This window comes from Homo sapiens, chromosome 6 (assembly GCF_000001405.40).
Source record: "Homo sapiens chromosome 6, GRCh38.p14 Primary Assembly".
In the NCBI taxonomy this organism is placed as follows: Eukaryota; Metazoa; Chordata; class Mammalia; order Primates; family Hominidae; genus Homo; species Homo sapiens.
In genome coordinates, this window is record NC_000006.12 from 144,805,323 (window position 1) to 144,832,391 (window position 27,069).

General features: G+C 35.3%; 1 protein-coding gene across 2 annotated transcripts in view, besides 2 other annotated features; it reads left to right on the forward strand.

Moving 5' to 3' along the window:
• The window catches only part of UTRN (utrophin), a 567,700-nt gene that overhangs the window by 519,988 nt on the left and 20,643 nt on the right, over positions 1–27,069 (forward strand). For both annotated transcript variants that reach the window (NM_007124.3, NM_001375323.1), the window contains 4 exons: positions 15,560–15,696; positions 22,026–22,064; positions 22,289–22,354; positions 23,468–23,533. In NM_007124.3, coding sequence (NP_009055.2) covers positions 15,560–15,696; positions 22,026–22,064; positions 22,289–22,354; positions 23,468–23,533 — 308 coding nt within the window. The remainder of the gene's footprint in view (positions 1–15,559; positions 15,697–22,025; positions 22,065–22,288; positions 22,355–23,467; positions 23,534–27,069) is intronic.
• Positions 978–1,178: a silencer, noted in NCBI's record as "peak6190 fragment used in MPRA reporter construct". NCBI's record gives its function as "represses an SCP1 promoter by STARR-seq MPRAs in K562 erythroleukemia cells {active_cell/tissue: K562}" and the evidence as "EXISTENCE:reporter gene assay evidence [ECO:0000049][PMID:32103011]".
• Positions 8,381–8,882: an enhancer, noted in NCBI's record as "NANOG hESC enhancer chr6:145134839-145135340 (GRCh37/hg19 assembly coordinates)". NCBI's record gives its function as "activates a minimal SCP1, AML or CMV promoter by ChIP-STARR-seq in primed H9 embryonic stem cells {active_cell/tissue: H9 hESC(primed)}" and the evidence as "EXISTENCE:reporter gene assay evidence [ECO:0000049][PMID:30033119]".

The window sequence follows — 27,069 nt, forward strand, 5'->3', positions numbered from 1 at the left end:
TTGCAGTAAGTGCCTTTAAGGAAATGAATGGATAATGAGATAGAATGATTAGAAGAGACATTTTAGATAAAGAAATCAGTAAGGTTTGTCTGAGTTGACATTTGAGTTGAGACCAAAGTTTGAGAAAGATTCAGCCCTGTAAAGAACTAGTAGAAGCATGTTTCAGAAAGAAGAAACAGAACATATAGTGGTCTGAGTTGGGAAAAAGGTTAGCGTGATTGGGCTGCAGAAAGTGAAGCCTGTTCCCCAAGGGGCGCATGGAAAGGAGCACTGGTTACACAACTGGAAGTGCCCAGTGCAAAATGAAACTGGGGGGCCCCTTGTTTAACAATTATTAAGACTTCCGAGTTGGCAACATCAGAGGAGTAAATGAAGTTCAAAGCCCTTCTGATTGTAGGGCCCTGTACAACTGCATAAGTGCAATAGTTCAAAGCCCTTCTGATTGTAGGGCCCTGTACAACTGCATAAGTGCAATATCTTTGAAGCTCACCCTGAGGCTGGGAAAGAGGTGGGTGTAACCAGGGAACAGAAAGAAACCAGGACAAATTTGACAAAAGAGAGACAATAGTAGGAGATGGAATTAAAAAGAAAGGCAACTATCAGATTGTATAGAACCCTGGGGATCATTGTAAGGAATTTGGATTGGGGGAAAATATCATAGTAATATTTACATGAATAGCTATTATAGAAGTTTAGAAAACTGATTATAAAATGCTAGTATCAAAATATCATAAAGTAAATATATGTTGTTATAGTAAAGATATATAAAATTACTATTTTTCTTGGTCTTGAACATATAATAATTCTTAATGGCTTTACAAAATACCTAAACAATTTGAAACCCACATATCTTCAACAGTTGTCATGCAGTAGGTGCATACTTAAGAATCACTGATACACATATGAATTCCACTCTCCAACTACCAATTTTAAATGAAATCTGTAAGTTACCCAAAACTGTTCTTGTTGCATAGTCTTTCAAAAGTCACTGTTTATCATTTCCAAGATTGCAGCTTATCCTGCATTATACAAGGATAGCTTCATTTTTCAAGACATCCTTTGCCCATTTCTGAGGCTTTGTAGTGATCTTATCAACAGCCTACTTATAAATCATCTGTATGACAGGTCACTTTCTGCATTTGACCCTACAACTTTTTGTAAAATAACTAGAAATATATGTAAATTGAATCTTTAAAAAGATACTTGCATTTAATAGCAATGAATGATCTGATTGCTATTATTGTAGCATTAATGTCTTTCCATTCATTCTCTGAAGCCACAGAGAAAGATGCATCTCTTTACAACTAAACTAATCAGACCTATTCCAACTGGACCCCATTTTACTATTGGAATTGTTCTTATATTCATTCCCTTCATGTGTAATCTTTGTGCAATAATTAAGTCACCATTAGCTTGAAGAAACCTTTGCTTGCTCACTCTTGTGCCTAAACCAGGTATCAAGTCTGGACATATTTCTCTCTCATTCGAAATACAAATTTTAGATGTACTATATTCTCAATGTAGAAAACAGGAAAAATATAAATGCAAGTATTCAGAAATCATTGCTTTCTGAAATTTCTTTCTGTTCACCCACATTCTTTACATTTGCTCTACTCTTTTAAGTTTTATTTATGGTTCATCCATCTTTTACTCAACATTTCCTAAAGTCGTTTCATGTCTGCCTTAGAAAATGAACTCAAGTGTGAATTTGTTTGGTACAGTGATAATAAGCAACACTTGAGTGTTAAATGGATCAGACCTTCCCATATGGACCTTGATGTTTGCATTCCTCAGACTGCATCTCCCTTTTTAGTTAAGAAGATGCTCCAGTCACCTTACTGACTTCATCTCTTTCCTTTTCAAAGTCCTTTACAGCTGACTCTGAATGTTTCTATTTTTAAGAGCTTTCTGCAATTTAGAAACCTTATTTTAAATCCACAAAGCACCCTAAATATTTTGCCAATATATCTGCTTATGATTTATGGTAATGTTTTCCTTTAGCTGTAAGAAGACTAATGGTATATGAATGAACTATCATGACTCATGAAAGTATTTTATGATATTGATAATTTATATATGTATATATAAATTATCTGAAGAAATGTAGCAGAATTTTTATTTCTCTAGGAAATGATTTTTTGTCTTATTTCCCCCTACTATTCTATAATCCAAATTTGTACATTTAAGAATTCTTTCATTAGGCTTAATAAGAGTTGATCTTCAAGAGACAGCATGACACAGATGATATTTAATGCCTGTCATCATTCTGTCTCCATATGTCCAAATCCCACCTTCTCACAAAAACAGCTCAACTCCCACTTTGTGTGTGAAATCTCTCCCAGCTCCTCCAGTTTTACCCTCATCAAAGCACTTAGTTCAGGGGCCTCTGCCAATAGCCTCTACTTTACCAATTAGGATTTGATTCTATGTTCCCTTGTATCATTTTCTAACTGTGGTGTTTTTGTCTTCTCAATTATCTTTTTACCTCCTTGAGGACTGGGATGACTTTTATACTTTTCTCCCTGTGTTAGTTAAATTTGCCTCATAAAAGCCAGATGAGCTCGTATCTGACTTTATAAATACTAGTTATAGAATATTAAAGCTGGAATTAAAGCTCTAAGAGATCATCTAACTTATCTTTATTTTGAAGAAAAAACTAAGTCTTAGAGAAGGTAAGTGATTTGTGCAAAGTTAATGGTATGGATTTAGTGACTTAACTCCATTAGGGAAATACACACACACACACGCAGTTAGCACATTGGAAAATAGGGGTTTGTGTATATCCTTGCTGGAATATTATGTTTGTTGAATACCCTTTTACATACCAGGCATTTTGCTAGGAGTTGGAAATAGAGAGAAAATTTCATGAAGGAGAAAAAATACCTCTATGTGGAGAAATTCAACAAGACTGTAATATTTTTTAGAATGATTAAGCTTATGAATCAAGAGAGTAGTCAATTTTTTTTTGTATTATCCATGCATTAAACCTTTGAATTCAGGGATTATCATTTTTTAAATAAATAGTTATATCTTATATTAAAGATGTTCAGATTTAAATTTCTTTTTTATTTATGATGATTTAATTTCATCGTGAAAATTACCCTACTCAGATCTTCTTTAAAATCATCTTTGTTGTAAGTAACCAAAATTTAATTCAAATTAGAAACATTTTCATATGTTGTTAGAGCATATAAAAGATAGTGTGTGGTTTTGTTTTTTGAGATGAGATCTAGTCTGTTAGTGAATTTCAAGTGTATTATCTGTAGCCACAAGCTGTACATTAGGTCTCCAGAATTTATTCATCATATAACTGAAAGTTTATACCCTTTGACCAGTCTCTTCTCTTTTCCTCCACCCCCCAGCCCCTGGTAACTACCATTCTACTCTGTGCTACTATGAGCTTGACTTTTTTTTTTAAAGGTCCCACATATAAGTGAGATCATGCAGTATTTGTCTTTCTGTATCTGGGTTATTTCACTTAGTATAATGTCCTCCAGGCTCATCTAAGTTATTGCAAATGACAGAATTCCCTTCTTTTTTTATGACTGGATATATTTCACTGTGTTTTCTTTATCCATTTTTCTGTTGTAGGATACTTAGTTTGATTCCATATCTTGGCTATTGTGAATAATGCTACAGTGCACATAGGAGTATAAATACCTTTTGGAGATAATGATTTTATTTTCTTTGGATATGTACCCAGAAGTGGGATTACTGGATGATATGATAGTTCTATTTTTAATTTTTTAAAGAACCTTTAGATTGTTTTTCATAATGACTGAACCAAAGATAGTTCTTTAAGTTGGAGAGTTCTTCTTTAAATTTCACATGATTTATAAAAGTTCATACAATTGCTGACAGTGAGAGAGAAGTGGATAGGGTTAAATACTAAGGATAATGGAAAATGTTTAGAATAGCTACTAGGGTCAATCTTGAGTCACACAGAGATGAGTAAACTGATTGCTACCTTGCCACTAGAGTGCAGCTGAGGTTAATTGACAAGGATTTGTAGTTTGTGACTCCATCATTGCTCAGCAGCTTTGGAATTAAAAGATGAAAAGTATATTTGAAGGCCAAGGGAGTGAAAAATTCCAAGGTGTTAATGATACTGTGGTTGATTTGAGGTATCCTCATGCTGAAGAAATCCCAAGGTGGGATAAAGGGCTAGACGTCAAGATGATGGGGAAAGAAGAGGTTTATTTATAATATAAGAAGTGAGAAGAAGAGTCAGAAGATTCCAGTCAGTGAAAGATTTTTTCAAGTTAGAGATTTTGGACTAAAAGTGGTTTTAAGTTATGATGAGGCCTGGGGTATGGCCATACCCCAATGTGTGACTGAAGTGGGACATAGAAGGTTCTAGAAATGAGATGGCTTTTAGAAGGTCATCACTGCATTTCTAGAAGTGAAGTGACAGATGATAGCCCTGTCTGGCGTTGTGCCATCAAAGGAGAGGGGAAGGGCACATTGGCTTTAGTAGATGAAGCTAAGGGGAAAAGGGTGTGTAGGAGAGGAAAAAAATATCTTCTTCCCATCTTAGTTTCATAGTTGAGGCTCCTGTAACAAAAGACAGATTAACAAGAGAAAAGCATACGAATTGATTTAATATAAATTTTACATTATATGGAAGCCTTCATCAGGAAGAGAAGACCCAAAGAAACGGAAGCCTGTGTATTTTTATGCTTAGGTTTGATGAAGAGTGGACAGTTGCGTAGAAGTATGATTGAATAAGAAGATACGACCTAATGCTAATGAACTAGGCGAACTTAGCAAGGCCTGTTTGTTCAGATTCTTTTCTGTGTCCTTCTGTTTTCAGTGATAAGGATGTTTCTTCCCTCCAGGAATAAGGAGGGCACCTCTCAAATAAGGGTCTTATGACCCTTTAGGGAAGAAGGATGGGAGAAGGTCAGAGAGATCTTGCTACGTCTGCTGTTTTCTCAACTGCCAATGTGCCATATTTGGAGGTAGTGTGTCCTGAACCCTTGCCAAGTGTAAACATCCTTTTCTCTTGGTTGTTATGAAAAAGAGATTATACAGCCACAAATGAAAAAGATGTTATAGGAAATGGCATTATCATGGGAGCTTCGGGATTGATTCAAGGAGATAGGTTGAAATACTAATTATGAACAAAATGTAAGGTAATGTGTAAAAGAACACAGAATCCACTGTAATGGAGAAAGAAAGGTAGATAGATAGGCTGTATGCATATAGTGAGGTACAGTAACCCCATCCATGGAGAGAAAATGTGAAATAGAGCAAGGTAATGGAGGAAATAGTAAAAGGAAAGAAGGAGGAAATAAGCAAGGAAAGGTTAGCCAGGATAGAAAGGTAGTTTGAGAGACATGTTAGCTGAGGGAGAAGAGACAGGATATTTGCAAAATTTTGTAGCTTGAAAGGTCAACAGCATCAGCTACTTCCAGCATTTCAATTGCAAGGGTAGATTCATTGTCAATGTCATAGTTTAGTTGCTGAGCTTTACATAGGACTAGTTTGTACTGGTAACTTTGATGAGTTTAGTGAGAAGAGGCAACAACAGGAAAAAAATACCTCAATGAGAAACAGCTTATTAAATTAATACCACTCAAAACAGATTTATATTGCAGGTTTTAAGCAAATACAGTTGTTTTAAAAGCAAGAGGTTCAACTGTATTCTTGTTGATATTGATTAATATGTAGGGAAATAAACCAAAATTACATGTTTTCCATGAGAAGAATCATATTTTCAGTGAGAAGAATTACAATTTTCTAGTAAAAAATATCGAATTTCTGTTTTAAAAGATAAATTGTGCCTTTTTTTTATGAACTATATGCCATTGGCAAAAATAAAACACACACACACACAAAACACCCGAAAAGAACAAAGAAAAAAATCTAGAAGCAGTTGTTTTGATCAATCCTTTCCACCCCTGCCAGCATCAATGTACTTCGTAAGACTATAAAAATCAAATATTTTAAAAATGCTGATTCATTCTTTGGAAAGCTCTACCTTGAGTTAGGGTAGTTTGTTTTTTGGCAGTCTTGTCTCTTCAGATGTGATGTGGGGTGTTTGCCAATATACTGAAAACGCAGCATCACGGCTGTTTCTCTGACCTCAGCATCCTGAAGTGGTGTTTCAGCTCCTGCTCTCCTTACATCGTTTTACCAGTAGGTCCAGTGCATTTAGATTTGTCATTAGCTTTTAAGGTGAGGTTTGGGCAAAATCCATTTTATTTTGGATGACTTATCATCCCACTGATTCTTGACTCCTTGGTAATTCTGCTAATGCTAATTTTTTTAGCTTCATATATTTTCATTAGGGCTTGAAAGTCTCTGAGCTTTTCTTACTGATTGCATCCTATCCATGGCATTCAAATGTGTCTGAATTTCAACTTGTTGAAATCATTGAAACTTAAATAAAAACTGAGAGGTTGTTTTATAGTTAAAAAAAAAAAACCTGTTAAGAATATCTTTAAAATAAGTCTTGTGATAATGAAATGTACCGCTTAGCAGTATGCATGTACCAGTTGGGACTACTGGTTTCTATATTTAAGAAGTAACTCTTGCTAATGAGGGTGCTGTTCAACAATGATTTTAGCACTTGTGCATGATCCAAATGATAATGTTTAATTATTCTGTTTGCGTGCCAAGTGACTTTTTTTATATAACCTTGATTTGCCTCTTTGTAAGCCTTTGTTTTCCTCTGTATGTAACTTATTCATATTTGTAATTAACAATTTAAATCCACTGTTTGGAGCATTAAGGAATTAGTTAATACTGATATCTCAAGTTAAGAAGTGACTCCCCAAAAAAAAGTTGTGGGGAGAATTAAAACAAATATTTTCTGTTTTGTTTTGTTTCTTTATTTGTGGTTCTTTATCTTGTTTTGTTTAAATTGTTTGGTAATTAGAAGTTATTTACGGGATTTAGGTTATTTGGTAGCATTGTAAATAGCTTCCTTTCATGTGTTGCTTTGCCGGTCTTTGGGGATAATAATAAGAGTCCTTTGAGCTGACCTAGTAAAGCCGTTTATTCAAGGATCACTTGATTATGAATACTGGGGGAAGGGGGTTAGCTTTTCTACATTCTAGATTCTTCTATACCTTATCCTTGCTGCTTCTTGTGATACATATTAGTGAAAAGGGAACTTTCAGCCATGTATTAATGCTTTTGAAGTTCAGTAGTGCATAGATTTCAGCATAAAGTAAGATTATACAGTTTGCAATATGAACAGGGACATATAGAAGGATACACATGCATTCATATAGAGATATACAAACTCAAGCAAAAGATAGAGTAACTCTAAATTATGTTCCATGTGATGTATCTATATTTGTTCTCTGTCAAGGATAAAATGGAAGAAAATTGAAAATTTCCTAACTGTATTTTGGTTGGTAAAATACAATCTCAAAAGTAAAAAATTATTTGATTTCGCCTTAAAAGTGATTTTGTTTAGGGTTTTTCTTTAGGGTTTTGCTACAGATAGATGTATCACAGGGTACATTTTATAATTCAGTGATACTTTCCATATTTTATTTATTCATTTATATTAGTTGGTGGGGAACAAGTAAAAAATTGATTAATTCTTATTATACAGGTAAGTTTTCATTGTTTTACGGCTACTTAATAGCAGTACAGTGGAGTAAAGCACATTTTCAGAATTCACATGCCCACTTATCTGTGTAGGTTCAGTTCTAAAATGTTTTTCACAGTGAGTCACTGTCATTAGCTTTCCAAAAATGACAATTTCAAGGACAGCCCTAATTTGTACATGTGAATTTTTATGTGCTTGTTGAAAATCAGTCCAGAGGCATCTGGGGAAGATGGTGGTAGCATGGCATCAGAGTTTTTTTGTTGTTGTTGTTTTATTTTTTTATTTTTATTTTTATTTATTTATTTATTTATTTTTTTGAAATGGAGTTTCGCTCTTGTTGTCCAAGCTGGAAGCAATGGCGCAATCTTGGCTCACTGCAACCTCTGCCTCCCGGGTTCAAGTGATTCTCCTGCCTTAGCCTCCTGAGTAGCTGGGATTCCAGGCATGTGCCACCACGCCCAGCTAATTTTTGCATTTTTAGTAGAGACGGGGTTTCACCTTGTTAGCCAGGATGATCTCGATCTCCTGACCTCGTGATCCGCCCGCCTCGGCCTCCCCAAAGTGCTGGGATTACAGGCATGGGCCACCACACCTGGCCCAGAGTTTTTCCATGTCTTTTGCCTTTGCCATTTTCCTTCCATTGGTAAAGCAGTTACATTTATAAAGAGACATTTGTAAAGAGAATAACTAGACAGCAAAACTAAAACGTACAATGTTTGCAACCAAACTAGATGACAAGAGAGATCCAAAATAAATCCAGGTGGCGATAAGCCACCACCAGCCACAAAACGTACAAGACATCACTGCCTGTATGAGAGGAAAGACAAGGAAGTGAGGGTGCCTAAGAACCAGATAGCCCCCAAAATAGGCAACAGATATTTAATGGAAAGCTGGCTTGAGAGCAGAGCTAAACCTGGAAGGGTTTTGCCATGCGCAGAGGCTAGGGTAAAAAAGGTGTGACATTTCTAGAATGCTCTTGCCTGCTGTGAGCTCTCAGACTGGACCCATCAGGGCTTCCTTCTAGAAAGAAGGTCTCATGCTGAGCAAAACTTCTGGGAATAGAATCAATATGGAGCATCTCAAGGCAACAGAAATGAAAGGAGAAGGCCTAGTCCAAACTGTTCCTACGTGCTGGTAGAGGGTATGGGGGAACAGGACCAGGAAGTCTCAAACTCAAGTACTGCTATGAATGGAATGTTTATGTCCCCCAAAAATTCATGGGTTGAAATCTAATCCCTAGTGTGATAGTGTTAGGAGATGGGGCCTTGGAAGTGATTAGGTCATGAGGATGGAGCTGTCATAAATGAAATTAGTACATTCATAAAAGTGACCCCAGAGAGCTCTCTCTTCCCTTCCACCATGGGAGGACGCAGTGAGAAGACGGCTGTGTATGACCCAGGAAGCAGACTCACTGGACCACAGATCTACCAATCCTTTGATCTTGGACTTGCCAGTCTCCAGAACTGTGAGAGATAAATCTCTGCTGTTTTATTTAAGCCACTCAGTCTATAGTATTCTGTTATAGCAGACTGAATAGATTGAGACACATGCTGTAATTGTAAATACCACACAAAAGCAAAAGAAGAGGAATCTCTGTGAAGTTAGAAAAGCTCTCCTCAACCTCATTTTGTTATAAAAGTTTAGGAAAATTAATTATACAACCAAAAAAATGAGCAACAAAAGTATCAAGACCAAATCTCATATAAAGGAATTTTAAGAAAAAGAGATAAGGAACAAAATTATATCACTACAAATAAAGCATGCCAGTGTAACTACTTTATGAATGGGAGGAAAATGGAAAAGTAAATCTATATTTTAATGTTTTCACTAATCATGTGGGTGGTAGTATTGGTATTAGTGTTCTAAGACTATTGTGTACGTAATATGATAAAAAGCAAATGAATAATTATGGGATTGTCTAGGTCTATCATCTCTTGTGTCCTTGAGAACCAGATTTTTGGTTTTGAAAAAAGGAGATAGAGGTGTATTAGAAAACAAGTTAAGTTAAATCAGAAATTTGAATTGGAATCATCAATGTAACTTCAAGAGAAATTTTACCTTCAAATGCATATTTCCCAGCTCTGTGCAAAGAAAAAGCCTGTTAACACTGAAAAGGCCTAAAAGGTGTGCTTGGAACATCTTGTAATAGTAGCTAATAAGGAAGCTGTTGAAGACTGTTAGAGTCACATTAAAAGTTGCCAACTGAACTTGACCTTCAATAATGAGAATTGCAATAGATTGAAACCCATCAAATACATTAAAATCTCATGATATTTAAAATGAACAAAAGCATTGATCATCTTTGGAAAATAATAGGAAACCATTTCATGATACTGAAAATTAGTCAACACAGTAAAATATTTATCCTGACTTTTCTAAATGAACTGTACCACAGAGTACCTAAATGTTAGACATGGTGATGTTTCTTTATAAAAGTATGTATTAGGCAGGGCTGTCTAGAGGGTCAGAACTAATAGGATAGATGTATATATGAATGGGAGTTTATTAAGGAGTATTGACTCACATGATCACAAGGTGAAGTCCCACAGTAGGCTGTCTGCAAGCTGAAGAGCAAGGAAGCCAGTTTGAGTACCCAAACCTCAAAAGTAGAGAAGCCGACAGTGCAGCCTTCAGTCTGTGGCCGAAGGCCCAAGAGCCCCTGGCAAACCACTGGTCTAACAGTCCAAAAGTTGAAGAACTTGGAGTTTATGTTCGAGGGCAGGAAGCTTCCAGCACGGAAAAAGATGAAGGCCAGAAGACTCAGCAAGTCTGCTCTTCCATCTTCTCCTGCCTGCTTTGTTCTAGCCATACTGGCAAGTGATTAGATGGTGCCCACTGATTAGATGGTACCCACCGGGTTTGAGGGTGTATCTGCCTCTCCTAGTCCACTGACTAAAATATTAATCTCCTTTGGCAACACCCTCACAGACACACCCAGGAACAGTACTTTGCATCCTTCAATCCAATCAAGTTGACAGTATTAACCATCACAAAGTATTCCAAGTAATAAATGAAAAATGAATGATAGAATGACACCATTTTGCAATTCCCAATGAATGGATACGGACACTTAGCATGAACAGCTGCTAAGATCACCTAAGAGAGGTGACAGCTATTATGTGCCTCCTATAACACTGCCAAATACCACTAATTGTCTTGACAAAAGTCTGCTGCATTATCTGGATCAAGTTGCAGATTTGTAGGAGGTTATCAAGAGGACAGACGAAAGTACTGAGCTGTACCAAAAATAGACATTCTGTAAAATCCAGACTCTGGAAAACTCTGCAGGTCAAATTGCCTGAGTTTTCCAACAGACAAACTGTAGGGAAATGGCAGGTGTGGAGGAGGGACCTGTAAATTAAAAGTGATTTAAAATATGTCAGATTTTTTTTTAATAAGCAAAACAAATTAAGGATAGACATTGGAGTGATAAAACTATTTTTGAAACATAATTCAAGTTATGTACTACTTCAAAAAATGAAGTTGATGGTAATAATGGAGAGGGGAAGAAAGTTTTGCCTGGAAGCGGCTTCTCGAATGTGCAGCAGTGTTCCATTTTCTGACTGATAATATTTCATTAAGCCATACTTTTTTGTGTATATATTTTGTTTTACTTTAAAATAAAAAGAATTCTAAAAATAAATCAGTCTAGTCACCAAAATTTTACAAATGGCTGTCTCTGGATGGTCAAATAGCTGGCAATTTTTATTTTATTTTTATTCCTTCATGTATATTTTATTTTTCTTTCTAGTTGTACTTATACCAAACGTGTTATATACACCATTTAAATCTTTTTTAAGTAGCTGGGACTGCAGGCACGTGCTGTCATGCCTAGCTTTTTTCCTTTTTTTTTTTTTTTAAATTTTTTTTTATAGAGATGGGGTTTTGCCGTGTTGCCCAGGCTGGTCTCGAACTCCTGAGTTGAAGCAATCTGCCCTCCTTGGCCTCCCAAAGTGCTGGCATTACAGGTGTGAGCCACTGCATCCAGCCTATTTATAAAATGACATTTTAATATAATTTTTTAGAAAACCAACCACATGGCATCTAATCAGTACATTATTTAAAATGAAGGACAAATTTAGGATGCAATATTAGATATTTTAGTCAATGGCTATGGATTCTTTCCCTTTCAAAACTTAAAACAGTTCCATTTTTCTAGAAGCAGTGACATAGTCTTGTAAAAAGGCTCAAGTTTTCAAGAACATTTTTTTCCTTACTGAACTTGGTTGGAGTCCATCAAAGGCTTAGTGTGAGTTTACTTAGGCTTCAAAAACCTGATGATAATCTCCTCAGAGGCCATGATGGTTAAATGAGATTGAAGGAAAACAATTTATAAGGTACAAGGTCCTATGCTAACCTGTTACCCTTGTGTTTGATCTAATGGGATCTGCAAAATCTGTTCTCCTTTTCTTACAGAAATAAACAGAAACCGAATCTTCCAAGAAATGCATTTAAAATGTTGGGTAATTTGTGTAGTAATGATTGTTCCTTTCAATTTTATCTTTCTATCATAATATCAAAAGTTATTTCCTTAAAAAAAAGAAAAATGTATTATACCTAGTGTAAAGGCAGAGTTGAGTTTGATTATATTTATTATGGTAAGTGGGTGGTTCTCTTTTTTCTTTCTTTCTTTTTCTTTTTTTCCAAACCAAACCATTACTTTAGCATTTTAAAATAGAGAAATATTAGGTACTACTATTATATAATAAAAATCAAATTGGACCAAGTATATATAAATGTTTTAACATTTCGGTGCAAAAATGGGTTAAATTCACTTTATTGGCTCTATCCCAGCTGAAGAATTACATTCTGATAACCTGAATATAATCCCTAATTCCTTGGGATGAATTACTTTTCACTTTTTCTTTTAATATTGCATAAAGTTTATGGCAATAATGAGTTAATGCTCTTAGATTACAACTCTTTGTGCTAGCTTTTCCCCAAGGAAATAAAAATAAGCTATTTCTGTGTGTGTACTAACTTTTAAAAACATGTAAATATGAGTATTATTAGAAACTCTAATTTCAATAACTACTATAACTTTTGGGGACAGCAAGTAGTTGTTTGTTATTTTGTGCATGGGATAGAAAGGGGTTGTTTTTGTTATTGGTGGTTTTGCTTTGGTCTTTCATGTCTTGAAAATATTTAGCTAAAGAATGTATGCTGTGGAATTGAACTGGCACTTTTGAATAATTTGTCATTTTTTTCACAAGCAAGAGTTCATGTTGGAACTCAAATATAGATAAACTAGAAGAACTGATGCTAAGTAAAAGAAGCAAGTCATAAAAGACCATATATTATATTAATTTGTTTATATGAAATGTCCAGAATAAGCAGATTCATAGAGAAAATAGATTAATGCTTGCCATGGGTTGTGGGAGGCGAAGGGTCATGGGTACAGAGTTTCTCTTTGGGGTGATGAAAATGACCTGTAATTAGATAGTGGTGATTTTTTTTAACTTTATGAATTCACTGAAAACCACTGAAGTGTAAACTGTACCTTACCCTTTCTGAGGCACACTGGGTAAGGGGCCTGATGCCTTGCCCACCTGGCCTTTCCTCTCACCCACTCACTCCACTCAGGGCTGTGAATTGAAGACCTGGATATGGCTTGAAAACCACTGGCCTAAGAGATCAAAACTTTTACATTGCTAGGTATGGAGTTTACTCCCAAGTAAAAGCTGGAGTCCATTGCTTATTAAGTATTTCTCTATATTAACAGTGTACTAAGAACAGACAAAGAAATAAATTGGGTCATAAATGCTTATTCTTATACACGGGTCCTCTTTATGCATTTCTATTATGGAAACTTCTTTTTTTCCTTCCTTACCAAGACATTTAGGGTAAGCATATCTCTACACTAAATTATCTGCAGTTGTGATAACCATTGCAAAAGATGTGAAAATCGTTTATAGTAGATGATATATCCTTTTGGCTTTATTCTGAGACCCAGATATTGCTTCTCTAAAAGTTTCCTTATTTGCTCCCAACTACAATCTGTTGTTTTTTTTTTTTTCCTTTTCTGCCTGGTAAGAGCTGAATACTCTCAAACCGTCAGATCTTATAACAACCCTTTTTTCTCCACAGGGTTTCCTTGAATTCTTTTTCTTTTCATGAATACCTTTTTCTTCTGCACTTTTGCTTTGCATTTGGGAAGCCCTATATCCATATAACTGCAGATCATTATGTAGTTAATATTCAGTTATTCAGGAAAAGATGGGTCATTGTGAATCTGATGGCAAAGCCTGGTGATAGCATGGGGCTGGCACCTTGTTGCAGGTTGTTTGTTTTGTCAGTGTAAAAACTGATGAATTTTAAATGATAAGTAGCTGCGGCTTAATCATGTCTCATCTCTGCTTTGCAAGCCAAGAGAATCAAAAGTTCCCTTAATTATTGACTAGAAGCAGACATGTTTTGATAGAAGGGGAATGGATAGAAAGTGGCAAAACTATATAAGGGTTAACTCAGAACTTAGTTGTTTTCAAAAATAGTTTGGTTTTTGTTTTTGTTTTTTTCAATTTTTGGTTGGGTGCAGTGGCTCACACCTGTAATCCCAGCACTTTGGGAATCTGAGGCAGGTGAATCACTTGAGGTCAGGAGTTTGAGACCAGCCTGGCCAACATGGTGAAACCCCGTCTACTAAAAATACAAAAATTAGCTGGGTGTGGTGGTGCGCACCTGTAGTCCCAGCTACTCAGGAGGCTGAGGCACGAGAATCGGCTGAACTTGGGAGGCAGAGGTTGCAGTGAGCTGAGATCGTGCCATTGCATGCCAGCTTGGGCAACAGAGCGAGACTCTGTCTCAAAAAAATAAAAAAAGTTTCTGTCTGCAAAACAAGTTTCTGTGAGTCCTGGGCATGCATGTTGTGAAGGAAAAGCTGAAGGGCAGGGACAGGGAGCAGGCAGCAGGTAAGCAAATATACTTATCATTCAGTGTCTGTGATTACAAGAAAGTTTCTCTCTCCTTCTCCCCTTCTCCTCCTCCGCCGCCTCCTCCTCCTCCTCCTCCTCCTCCTCCTCCTCCTCTCTCTCTCTCTCTCTCTCTTTCTGTCTCTAAGAGGAGGGAGTGAGGTATAATGAGTGGTAGGTTGAGCAGCCAAGTTGGAGCCAGAGGATCATGGGCTTCATTAAGTTCTGTGCAGGTAATGTAAATATTTTAAATGCATCTTCGGAAGGATCACAGTTGATATCTGTATTGTAAATAGAAACTAGAATTGTGATATACAGTAGAAAACTGGGGCTTGGAGAACAATAGTTCATGGGATAGGATGATGGGGTGGGTGGGGTTGGGATAGTGTTAGTCCATATCACCCTAAATGATTATCAAACTAATCATTTAGAAATACCTAAGGGAACAGTGACATTTTATACCACTATTAAAAATGTAGTTCAGGTAAAATAATTATATGTCTGCATAGTTGGGAAAGGACAAAGAAATTGACAGTATTCCTTCCCAAACAGAGCACCAATGTGGCCCTGCTCTTTCTCTCTTATTTATTGTCTTACCTTTTTCCCCACTAGAATATATGCTGGCTTGTGTGTAGCCAGCATCGGCTCTATGACTAATTTCCATTAACACAGCTTGGTTAAAACCATTGTGGTTAAAACCACAATACTCTGTCATCACTATATTAATAGCAAATTGAAAATTTTTTTAGTGATAAGAACCAGCCAATAGTTTGGAAAAATTAGTTTGGAAAAATTTCAAAACTAATTATACTTTTTGGCCCAAGTTTTAAAATATTGGGGAAATGAACTAGGTATGGTTTATTTTCAACAGAGAATGAAAAAGTATAAACATATCACTGGATATATTTAGTGATGAGTTCTTATTGCCAAGTGTTTTCATGAGACTGCTTTATTTCAAAAATGCATAAAACTACCAAAACTGTTGACATTTAATTGCATCAATTTACATCGGCTCTGATTTTGTTATAGATAGTTATTGCCTTCCATTTTACTGAGAGAAGTGTAATTGTTTTCAACCTTATAGACAACATCTGGGGAAGATGTACGAGACTTCACAAAGGTACTTAAGAACAAGTTCAGGTCGAAGAAGTACTTTGCCAAACACCCTCGACTTGGTTACCTGCCTGTCCAGACAGTTCTTGAAGGTGACAACTTAGAGACGTAAGTTTGATTTTAATATTAAATCTAGTGTGAACATTTATATCTGATGTTGTCTTTTTTATGTTAGTAACACAAGAGAAATTGTTTAATACCAACTGCATTTTAGAGGAGGTAAATTAAACTTGGAATCAGTCTTCACAACATGAATTTTTACAATTCACTTTTGACAATGTCACAGCCAAAATTTCAATTTTAACCTTGCACATGTCCTTAAATTTTAAAAATATGTATTAATATGTCAACCTTAATACACACTGGTCATCTCTTTTGTTGGTCATCTCTTTTCTTTTTAAAAACACTTAAAGTGTGGCATTATATAGTCTTTCATTATTTATTTTCCTTTTTTTCCCCTTATGGGGGGTGTTTTACTATTTCTCAGAGTATGTTTTATACTCTTTTTGCATCTCTTTAATATAAATTTATTAATAATACTTAATCTGTTGATTCAGATATTTATGCTAAAATTCTAAAGTATCACATTATGATTCTAATCTATTTTTTATTGAAAATGAAGACAGCAAACTGAGATAGCTTTATATATTACATAAAATAGAAAAAATTTATTCAAAGTGTATAATTTGAGTTGGTTAGCATACATGAAAGTTTCAAGATGGTGAAATTACCATGTGATTATAAAGCAAAGGGAATAAGAATTTATGGCCTGAAGTGAAAAGAAAAAAAATGTTTTTCAATGACCCAGAAAAAATGCAAAGAAGTAATTTTAAGATACTAAACAATTATGTGTTAAGATCCAAATAGATAGATTTTAAATCTTTGAATTGCTTTTTCATATGTCAGGATAAATATTCCTGCTAAGGCCATTTTCTTGTGGTTGAATCTTGGGGAAAATGAACTTTTATTACTAATCATCAACAGAGTGCCCAGTTGTATAGCATAATGAAGTTCTAGTCAGAGAAAGACACCGTCTCAGATGACTAGAGAAGAGAAACTCAAAAGTGTGAAGTTTTCTACTTTATAAAAAATAGAGAAAATTGTAGTAAGAAGTATAAAAAATGTCAAGTGCAATTTTTGTGAAATGAAACTTTAGCCTTCAGATTCATAGTTCATTTTATTTTGTACATGATAGAAAATCAGGAAGTAGTAATATTTTAGTGCTTTGTGATAGTCAATGTCTCAAACATGTCAAAATAGAAGAATACAGTATTTGGTCTGCAGACCAAAATAGATTTTTTTAAATCCCTGTAGACCTCAAACTTTGCTAAATTTATGTACCAGTTTATCTCTTTTATTTGTGGAATGGCTAAGAAATAGAAGAAAGAACACAGCCAAAGCATAGGAGATACCTTTTTCCCTCTATAGGTAATGTCGTGTGTGTGTAAACAGAAAGAAATACAATGCAAATGCATATTTAGATAGGTCCATGTATAACACATACACATACAAAAGGTAAGAAAAAATTTCAACTGTGTGATTACTGTGCTTGATATCAAACTGTGTACACTTAAGATATATTCTTTCCACTTGATATCAAACTGTGTACAATTAAGATCTGTGTCTTTCTAAACATTCTTTTGCATAGTACAATTTAGAAAAAGTTTTAATAAAGCAATTTCAATTGAAAGAGAGCTGTTCGAATACATTCAGGAACAGTAGACTTTTGGTCCTCTTTTTGATTTGTGGGTATGCTTTTGTCCTTTCCTTCAAAAGGTTGTGTGATAATAGATTCTTATTTGTCTTAGTATCTAATATATGTTTAACTGTGCTGATGCCTTAGGATAAAGACAAAATTGTACTTTTTTTGTATCCCATCCAGTTAACCTTTGGAATGGATAATTCTGAGGCACAGAATTATTACTTGGTGCTTTAATTTACGGGATAATTTGATAGGTTTGAACTAAGCGATGTGCCTTTTAATCTTTTGCTAAACCATTGGCATTTTGCATCACAAATATCTACACGCTTTACAGGAATCATGCAGATAGATGCATATTTTATACTCCTTTAAAACATTTTTAATTTGCCTTTCAATGTCAAAATAATCATTGGTGTCAGTCATCCTATTCTGAGTGACTCTATTAGGTAAAAATTAACAGAAAAGCATGCCAAATAATTTTGTGCTGTGATTTTGGGGTGTAATTCTGAAAATGCCTCGCCTCAATTCATTCAATTGAAAATGAATTTATGAGCATTTTTTGTGAGAGGAAAACAAGAGAAAAAAAGGAAGAAGTGTAAGCTTGCATCAGATGCACCAAGATCCTTTTTGGACAGATTTATGAACTACTAGATATAGTGGGCAGGTTTTCTTTTTTTAATCCTAGACCAAGCTCTCGGGATTTGATATAGTTCACTTTTCGGCTGAGCCCTTTCTAGTACAGGGCCGCTTAATCTTCTGGTGTAACAATTTATGTGAGTGGGTAATAAAAAAGTTTGATTTTGTTTATTCTCCTATTTGTGGGAGGAGAACATTGGAGAAAAACCAGCGAAGTGGCAAATGTGTTGAAGTTATTTATGAAGCTAATTAGAATTTTCTTTTGCTTCTTTCTTTTTCATCCTTGCAAAATGTAGCATTTTGTCCTCTGCCCAGTAGTTACACATGCATGCATGGAGGAGGGGATTTATGGGGAAAATGAGTTATTACTAAAAGGGAGTAAACAAATCCATGCTAAGGTTTATTCGATTAATTTTATAACTATGCAAAATTTTCCAGAAAATAAATCAATAAATGAGTAGAGTTTGATTAAAGAATACTCCATTGAAAATAAATCTGAGGAACAAGCTAAAATAGTAGCAAAAGTAATTCAAGGGTTGTGAGAATTATTATTGGCTAAAGAGATAGGTTGGTTTCCCTAAAGATTAAAAAAAGTAAAATAGACACCTCTCCCTGGTATTGGTTAAAGGGGAGTAAATGAGTTTAAAGATTTTTTTAAGAGCCTTTGCTATAGCAAGAAACAAATACACTATAAGTTTAACTACAGTTGCAGTTAACATCCGACTAGAAGGAAGTATGACAGCCAAGTTGAGACCTGAAAGATTAATAGGGCTAAGTATGATGTGTTTGATGTGGGAGGTTGAGAGGGAGAGTTTCTGGTCCAAGGAAGCATTTTCAAAAGCTTGGAGGCAAGATAGTTTCAGAAACTGGGGTGGAAAACTATCAACAATGGCAAGAAATGGCAGTGGAGAGAGAAGATGGAACCATATAATGAAGGGCCTTCTAAGCCATGCCAAAGTGTTTGGAGTTTATTCTGAGAGCAGTGGGGAGCCTTTGGGGGTCTTTGAGTAAAAGCAGCAGGGATCCCACTTACCCTGCTCTGGAGCAAATGGATTGAAGAAGGCAGAAGACAAAGAACAAGGAAGAGTCTAATGACAATTTAAGGCACTAAAAGGGTCATTAAGTTCTTCAAAATCTGGGTTTTATATATAAAACCATTATATATATATATACACACACACACATTGTATATATATACACATATACAATAAATATGTATATATAGTATATATACACATATACAATAAATATGTATATATTGTATATATATGTATATATACACAAATATAATACATATGTATATATATTAATATAGCATTTTATTTATATATATATATATATATATATATATATATATATATATATCTTTTTTTTTTTTTTTTTTTTTTTGAGACGGGGTCCAGTTCTGTTTCCCAGGCTGGAGTGCAGTGGCACAATCACAGCTCACTGTCTCATTGCAGCCTCGACCTCCCAGGCTCAAGTGTTCCTCTTTGGAAATTCCTAGGCAGTATGTGAAGTTGGTGGTGGGGGGGGGTGTCCCCCCAGCGTTAAGAATGACGCTGAATGATCTGGCTCCAGACATAAGCCTGTGAGTCAAGCAGAACAAGTTTTCTTGTATCAGTTTGTAAATTAACTTCTGGGTGAAATTTTCAGCCTCCCAAGAAGCTGGGACTATAGGCATCATGACACCACGCACAGCTAATGTGTTTATTTTTTGTGGAGATGGGGTCTCATTATGTTACCAAGGCTGGCCTCAGACACCTGGGCTCAAGTGATCCTCCCGCCTCAGCCTCCCAAAGTGCTGAGATTATAGGTATAAGCCACCGAGCCTGGCCTGTGTTACATTTTACATGATACTAAGTGATCCTCTTGCCTCAGCTTCCCAAACTGCTAGGATTACAGGCACAAGCTACCGAGGCTGGCCTGGGTTACATTTCATATAATATCTAAGTATTTGTAGCAGAGTCTGCTTTCTGGAATATTAGTGTGTGATTGACAAAATCACCTGTTCAGCCCCCATGCTGGAGAGCAGGGATAGGCTGCGTTCTGAAGCCTGGGCTAACACACACATTGTTCTTATTTCCAAGGCTTTGTAATGATAGGTTGTAACTATGCAGTTTCTTATTTTCTCCTTTCAGAATTAAATGAAAAAGCTTATCATTTAATCTTTTTTTCTACAAATCAAAATTTTCTGAAGTCAATGAAGCCCAAGGTTTGACTTTTTTATCTCTATTTCTTTTTTTAGAAATTTTTCAAATATATAACAAAACTTGAGAAACCCTTCAGTTCAGTTCTCTACCCTTGCCATTCTCATTTTTTAGGTCATGGATCACTTTTGTGCTAACTGGATTAAGTTAGCAAGAACCAGTCAAGCAATTTGACAGAGCTTTCCCAAGGTTGATTAAGACAAAAAAAATACACACTTTTCTTCTATTTGAAGTTCGTGGCATATGTTTTGCTACACTTGAATTTTGGAAATAATCTCTTAAGCAGTTACTGTTTTTAGAAAGTATATAGCATATCATTCACCTGACATTTAACATATTCAGGGTTAATGAAGAACAGTGACGTGGAAATAGTATTGACTAATACTATGTTGTTTTATTGTTATTGTATCTATTTTACACATATGTAAATTAAGTTTACTGACAGTATAGATATTCTGACAAACAGTCTGGATAAATGCCTGGTTCTGCAGTGAGAACACATGGACACAGGAAGGGGAACATCACACACCGGAGACTGTTGTGGGGTGGGGGGAGGGGAGAGGGATAGCATTAGGAGATATACCTAATGCTAAATGATGAGTTAATGGGTGCAGCACACCAACATGGCACATGTATACATATGTAACAAACCTGCATGTTGTGCACATGTACCCTAAAACTTAAAGTATAATAATAATAAAAGAAAAAATAAATAAATAAATAAATAAATAAATGCCTGGTTCTGAAAATAGATCTGAAGAGTCTTAGTTTTTCATCCCAATAAGATAATGTTCAAAAGTCTTTGCTGTGCAGGCATCAACCTGCACTTCACTATAGGAGATGAAGAGAAAAGTAGGCATTATAGATACCTACTTTCTTTGTCTAAGTAGGTATGTATAATAGAAATAGGAGAATCAAGGAGTTTTGGAATAATTTTGTTTCAAACACTGTTAGCTTTTGCAGACTTTTATTTAATTAAATAGCTAATTTTCTTTGTACTGTAAATGTTCTACATTCATTTACTCTCCTTCCTCCTCAAAAAGCTAGGGTTGGAACTAGCTTTTAATTAGGATCAGTTGTTTTCAAAAGTATTTCATGGAGACTTGGGAATTCTTCCTAGGCAGTATATGACATCCCCAGCATTAAGAGTGACACTGAATGATCTGGCTCCAGACACAAGCCCCTGAGTCAAGCAGAACAAGTTTTTTTGCATCGATTCATAGTTTAAACTTCTAAAAAACTTTTTTTTGAAGAAAATGTATCATGATCTCAGGAAGTTGCCTTCAGTGTTATTTATGATGTGACATTTTTGGTGGGATCTAGGGGTGGTATCTAGGTTGCATGTTTGTTCAATGTGTGTGTGAGGTTGAGGTATTTTGGGTACATCTGGGTTTGGATGTTTACATTTAAAATTACATGAAGAACAGAAAAGTCTAATTTTATTGCACCTCTGCCATCAACATATAATGTAGTGTTTCATTTTTAACTTCATCTTTCTAACCAAGTTTCTTCTCTAGGAAAAACAAAAATATGATTGCATCCCCCTTGGTATATTATAGAATGGTATCTTTACATTATTCTATAATTTTGAGTTATTTTTGAGCATTCTGGTTTTTTCCCCAGTATGACTGTTTAAAGATGTGTTTGCTATCCTTGAACAAATATCCTGTAATATCTGTGAAAAGGCCCCTGCAGACTCTTGAATACACGGCGACTTCTCTAGAATACACTGTGACTTCTGTTACTTTTGATTTCCCCATGGTGGCTCTCAGGGCAACCACATATATGAGCGGAAGATAATTGAGAATCTCCCCACACCCCCACTGCTTTTGTCTTAAATTGCTCTAAAGTGTTTGTTCTGTGACTTTTGTCTCCCTCTCCCCTCTTTGCAGTCCTATCACACTCATCAGTATGTGGCCAGAGCACTATGAGTGAGTATTCATAGCCCACGTGCAGGAGAGGTGTTCTGATCAGTGGTACTAGCATGGGGGTCTTACTAAACTCTTGGTCTAAAATAATACTTCTGTGTTCCGGGTAACAATCCTAGTGGTCTGTTTGCATGGCAGATTCATTACTTAAGTAACCTAACATTTCTAATAGTAACACCTATCAATATTTGGGCATAAAATTATTGCTTTGTTTTTTTCTTTTAAAGCCCCTCACAATCTCCTCAACTGTTTCATGATGACACCCATTCAAGAATAGAACAATATGCCACACGGTAAGAAACTTTGATCAGAGCCCTCCACTGCACTGCCACCCAGAATGTATCTATGTCTAATTAATCTAATATCATTAATATACCTTGATTTAAGAAATGCAGTTTTGCAGGAGTTATGATTCCATTATATTTGGAATTTGGGCTCTCATATTTTCATGACACAGTTTGCACTTTACCAAACACCTGCTATATATTCTATGAAAAGTAAACCTAACCAGGATGTGATTCTCCAGCTAATGAGAATCCAAACACTGTACAAGCAGGATTTAGATGGTGTAACCAAGTTTCAGTAAATGAAAGTGGGATTGCAGGTATTCTCAGGAGATGGTGCACATGTGAATTACAATATGTAATTAAATTTATGCTAATGCTTTAGGATAGGGGTTTATTTTAGAGTCTCTAAATAATATATAGGCTGGTCTTGATGGTGTGCACAGACTTTCAGAAAAGTGGTATATACTAGGTGTCTGTGATTCTAGTAAGTAGCTTTGCCTAGAAAGGTTAATTCAAGCATCATAAAAATGGTAACATTTGAACTGGGTCTAGGCCAACTAGAATTTCTAGGGGAAAGTCTTGGACTAATGGAATAATATACTCAAAAGCATTGAGCTGGGAAAGGGCATGGTTTGTTTACTGAACTGCAGGTAGGGGAAAGAGAAATAGATGAGAAAGTGAAGGACACAGAAGTTGAGGTCTGATAATGAAAAACCCAGCCACTGAAGAGTTGGATCATGTCCTTAGTTGAAGGGAAGTCATGGAGAGTTTTTGTTATGAGAGGAACATCATTTTATTTGTTTGAGAATGTCACGCTCACTTAGATGTAGACCAACTAGAGGGTTAAGGAAAGCCTAGGTCTGGGAGCTCAATTAGAAGATTAGGTCAGTTAGGAGACTTTACAACATGGCGTAAGATAAAGGCCTACAGGCATTAAGGCAGTGGTGATAGAAAGGTAGCTCAACATGAAACGTTTTAGTTTTACAGTCGTGTTAGGAGATTTGGATCTTTCTATGTTTTGTCAGAATTTTGACAATTTAAAAATGATTAAGGATGTACGTCCAATTGACCATGTCCTATATGGCCATGTTGTCTAACCTCCTTATTTTTATTTTGCAGACTGGCCCAGATGGAAAGGACTAATGGGTCTTTTCTCACTGATAGCAGCTCCACCACAGGAAGTGTGTAAGTAAATCATGAAATTAGTGCTGCCTGGGAAGGCTAGTTCTTGTATTATGGCTGTCAGAAACAATCTTCACTGATGTGGCTCTGAATCTTGATCCCAATCAAAATTATTAAGTGTGGTTCCAAAAATTTCTACGTAGATTTTATGCTTTCAAACCATGATAGTATAAACTCAATATGTTTATTTACTTTGTTTCATATAAGTTAATGAAAAAAATCTTACATTTGTCAACTTATATACCCCACGAAAATCAGATTGTTTTATTTAGGATAACAGGTGTATATATTCATTCCATTTGTCTTATATTTCTTATTAATTTAACAAAGGTAATTTGACAGAATATGTGCCCTTTCTGTGAAATCCTCTTTCTTCCACTAGCTAACATTTTTTCCATAATATCTGCATTTAGCACCTCTGACCCACACATACTTAGATATATACTCCTACCCTTCATTGAAAACTGTTAACTCCTCTGCCAATATTTTATTTTATTAGCAACTAAGAAAAGCCTCATTGACTTTAGAATACTAAAAAGATATTATATACTAAAAAGCTTTCTAGCCAATTAGTTTATTTCTGATTTCCCCATATGTGTATATTCCACTTGGTTGTGGAACTTTCTCAGCAAATATTTTATCACTGATTATCCCACTATTGTGTGTACTCTTACTTTTGGAACTTTTTATTCTTTTTTTTGTGCCCTGGAATTCACATTTTTAATCCTGAATAATATCTAAAAGACTAATACTGTCAAGCTTATGTGACTAACAAAGCTCTATTGTGGTTTGGATCTGATGGGAATCTGTAAAGTAGACAGAAAAGTTGTCAAACATAGTAGTTGGGTGTTTTCACTAAAAAAAAAAAAAAACTATGGAGAGTGCTAGGTTAAAATACTTAAAGTGCTCAAATATAGAATATTCTCTTTCCATATTTTCTAAAACTTGTTTTATTTATTATGGTTATAAATAAAAGTTATCAGGAGGTTTTTCAATTTCAAATTTCAAAGATTGCATCTTAATACTTGACAGTAATGTAGTAGAGATTTATACATTATCATTCATGTACTATGAGTGTGAAACAATTCCCAAATCAAAATAAAGGTGTATTCATAATGTTTGTTTCATATTTAACCTACTGGTGTGCATTTCATGTAAAGTAGTTAAGTATCTTGAATCTTTCCTAAATCAACAAATTTCCTCAAGGCTGACCATAGCCAAAGCGTTAAAGGAAATAAAAGATAATAATTCAGAACAAAATCTTACTTCTTTAAAATGTTTTGTCATGCCCTGTGAACACAGTAAAGGTAATGCTCAAATTTAGTATATTGTATCTTAAAATAGGAATAAATACTATTTTCAGATTTAGCACTGTTTCAGAAAAGATTAACATTTTTTAAAAAGAAAAGAAAAAAGTCAGAAGATTAACAGTCAGATACATTTTAATATACTGTCATTATATATATTAACTCATTCACCCATCCAACAGACAGTTGTTATTAATATATACCTACCATGTAATGGTATGCTGGAGCCAATTGTGAGAGCTGATTGTTACATTTTCAGGATGTTTGTAAGCTGTTAAACAGAGCCTTTTTAAAAATAATTTATATACATGTATATACAGTTACAATTAAATAAATTAGATTAAAACAAAAACAAAAGTAATTCTCAAAACTCATCACACCCTAATGATTTTACTTCATTTCACTAATATCTATGCCCTTGGGATTATTTATTATAAACTTGTCCATCCTGCAACCCACAGGCCACATGTGGCCCAGGACAGCTTTGAATGCAGCCCAACACAAATTCATAAACTTTCTGAAAACATTATAAGATTTGTCTGTGATTTGTTTTTTGTTTTTTGTTTTTTGTTTTTTTTTTGCTTTTTTAGCTCATCAGCTATCATTAGTGTTAGTGTATTTAATGTGTGGCCCAAGAAAATTCTTATTCTTTCAATGTGGTTCCTGGAAGCCAAAAGATTGAATACTCCTGATTCATTATCTCTGTCAGGTGGTGTACAAATGTGTATCTTTTCCCAGTTCCACATTCAGTGAAGTCATGAACTTGAAATTGGCCATGATCAAAAAGTATTTAAATCACAGAAGTTGCAAATGCCACAAATCAAGGTCTTTTTCTCTTGGAGAACCTGTTAAACATTTACCAACTCACGACCGCCATGCACCCAATACTGCAATAGGTCTATAGATGCAGATACTGTCTCCATGAATCTTATAGGCTAGAAAGGAAATAGATAAGTAGTCCTACCAGAAGAACATGATGAAGGCATTTGTGGTAAACAGAATGATGGCCCCCCAAAGATGTCCACATCCTAATCCCTGAAGCCTATGAATATACTACTTTACTTGGCAAAAGGGACTTTGCCACAGGTTTTTAATTAAGGACCTTGAAATAGAGAGATTATCCTGGATAATCCAGATGGCCCCAGTGTAATCCCAAGGGTCCTCATAAAGGGTAGGAAGGAGAGCCAGAGTCAGAGAAGGAGACGTAGCAATGGAGGCAGAGGTCAGAGAGAGATCTGCAGATGCTGCTGTGTTGGCTTTGAAAATGAGGAATGCAGGTGACCTCAAGGTGCTAGATGATGCAAGGAAACAAATAATCTCCTATGAACCCTAGGATGGGCATTATTATGAGTCCTATTTTATAAACAAGGAAGCTGACATCCAGAAAGATAAATGACATGTCCCTGATCACCCATATATCTATTACAATTAGATACATGAGTACGTTCGATTGACTCTGGACAATTTAAAAGGAAATTGATGTTACGAATACTACATATCTTTGAAGGAAAAATTGAGCAGTGACATCTCAGGACAGGATAGGACTCATGACGGTTCTGGGGAATCTCAGAAGTGGGAACGCAAGGACAATTCCTTGGGCCATGGCTATCAGGACGTCTCACTCCATCTGCCATCTGCCCTTGGGTGACACTGGAAAGAAAGAATGGGGAGGCTGACTGTGGTTTACACAGGCATTGCAGTTTGCAAATCTGAAACCTAGAACAGAACAATCCTTAAAAGAAAGAAAATCATTATTTTTATTTATGTCTTGTCTACTTTCAAAAGTTCATTGAATGAATCACAGTTTTTTTGTCATCTGATATGTACTAATTTTGTAATCTAGATAGTGTTTACTATGTGTGACTTAACTGTAGTATAATTATATTCCATCTAATGATATTTCCTTGGTGCAAACCTATTATTTTTGCAACATTTTCTATTTTAGCCCAAGACATACGATTGATGTTTAATGTCCCTGATCTGGTACCTCATGTTCTATCTGCATTTAAAGAGTTTGTTATTGGTTTTTACTATATGTAATTAAGAACTAGAATGTATCTATTTTTATATTCAACATTTAGACCTAATAATCTGTGAAAAACACTTAAGACTAAAATTGTATGTTTTATATAAATGATTGTTAAATTCTTATTTTTGTGAAAACTGCCTTAACTCTCTTCCAGATACCATAATGAAAGAATGCAATGATAGTGGGGATGATAATTATAATAA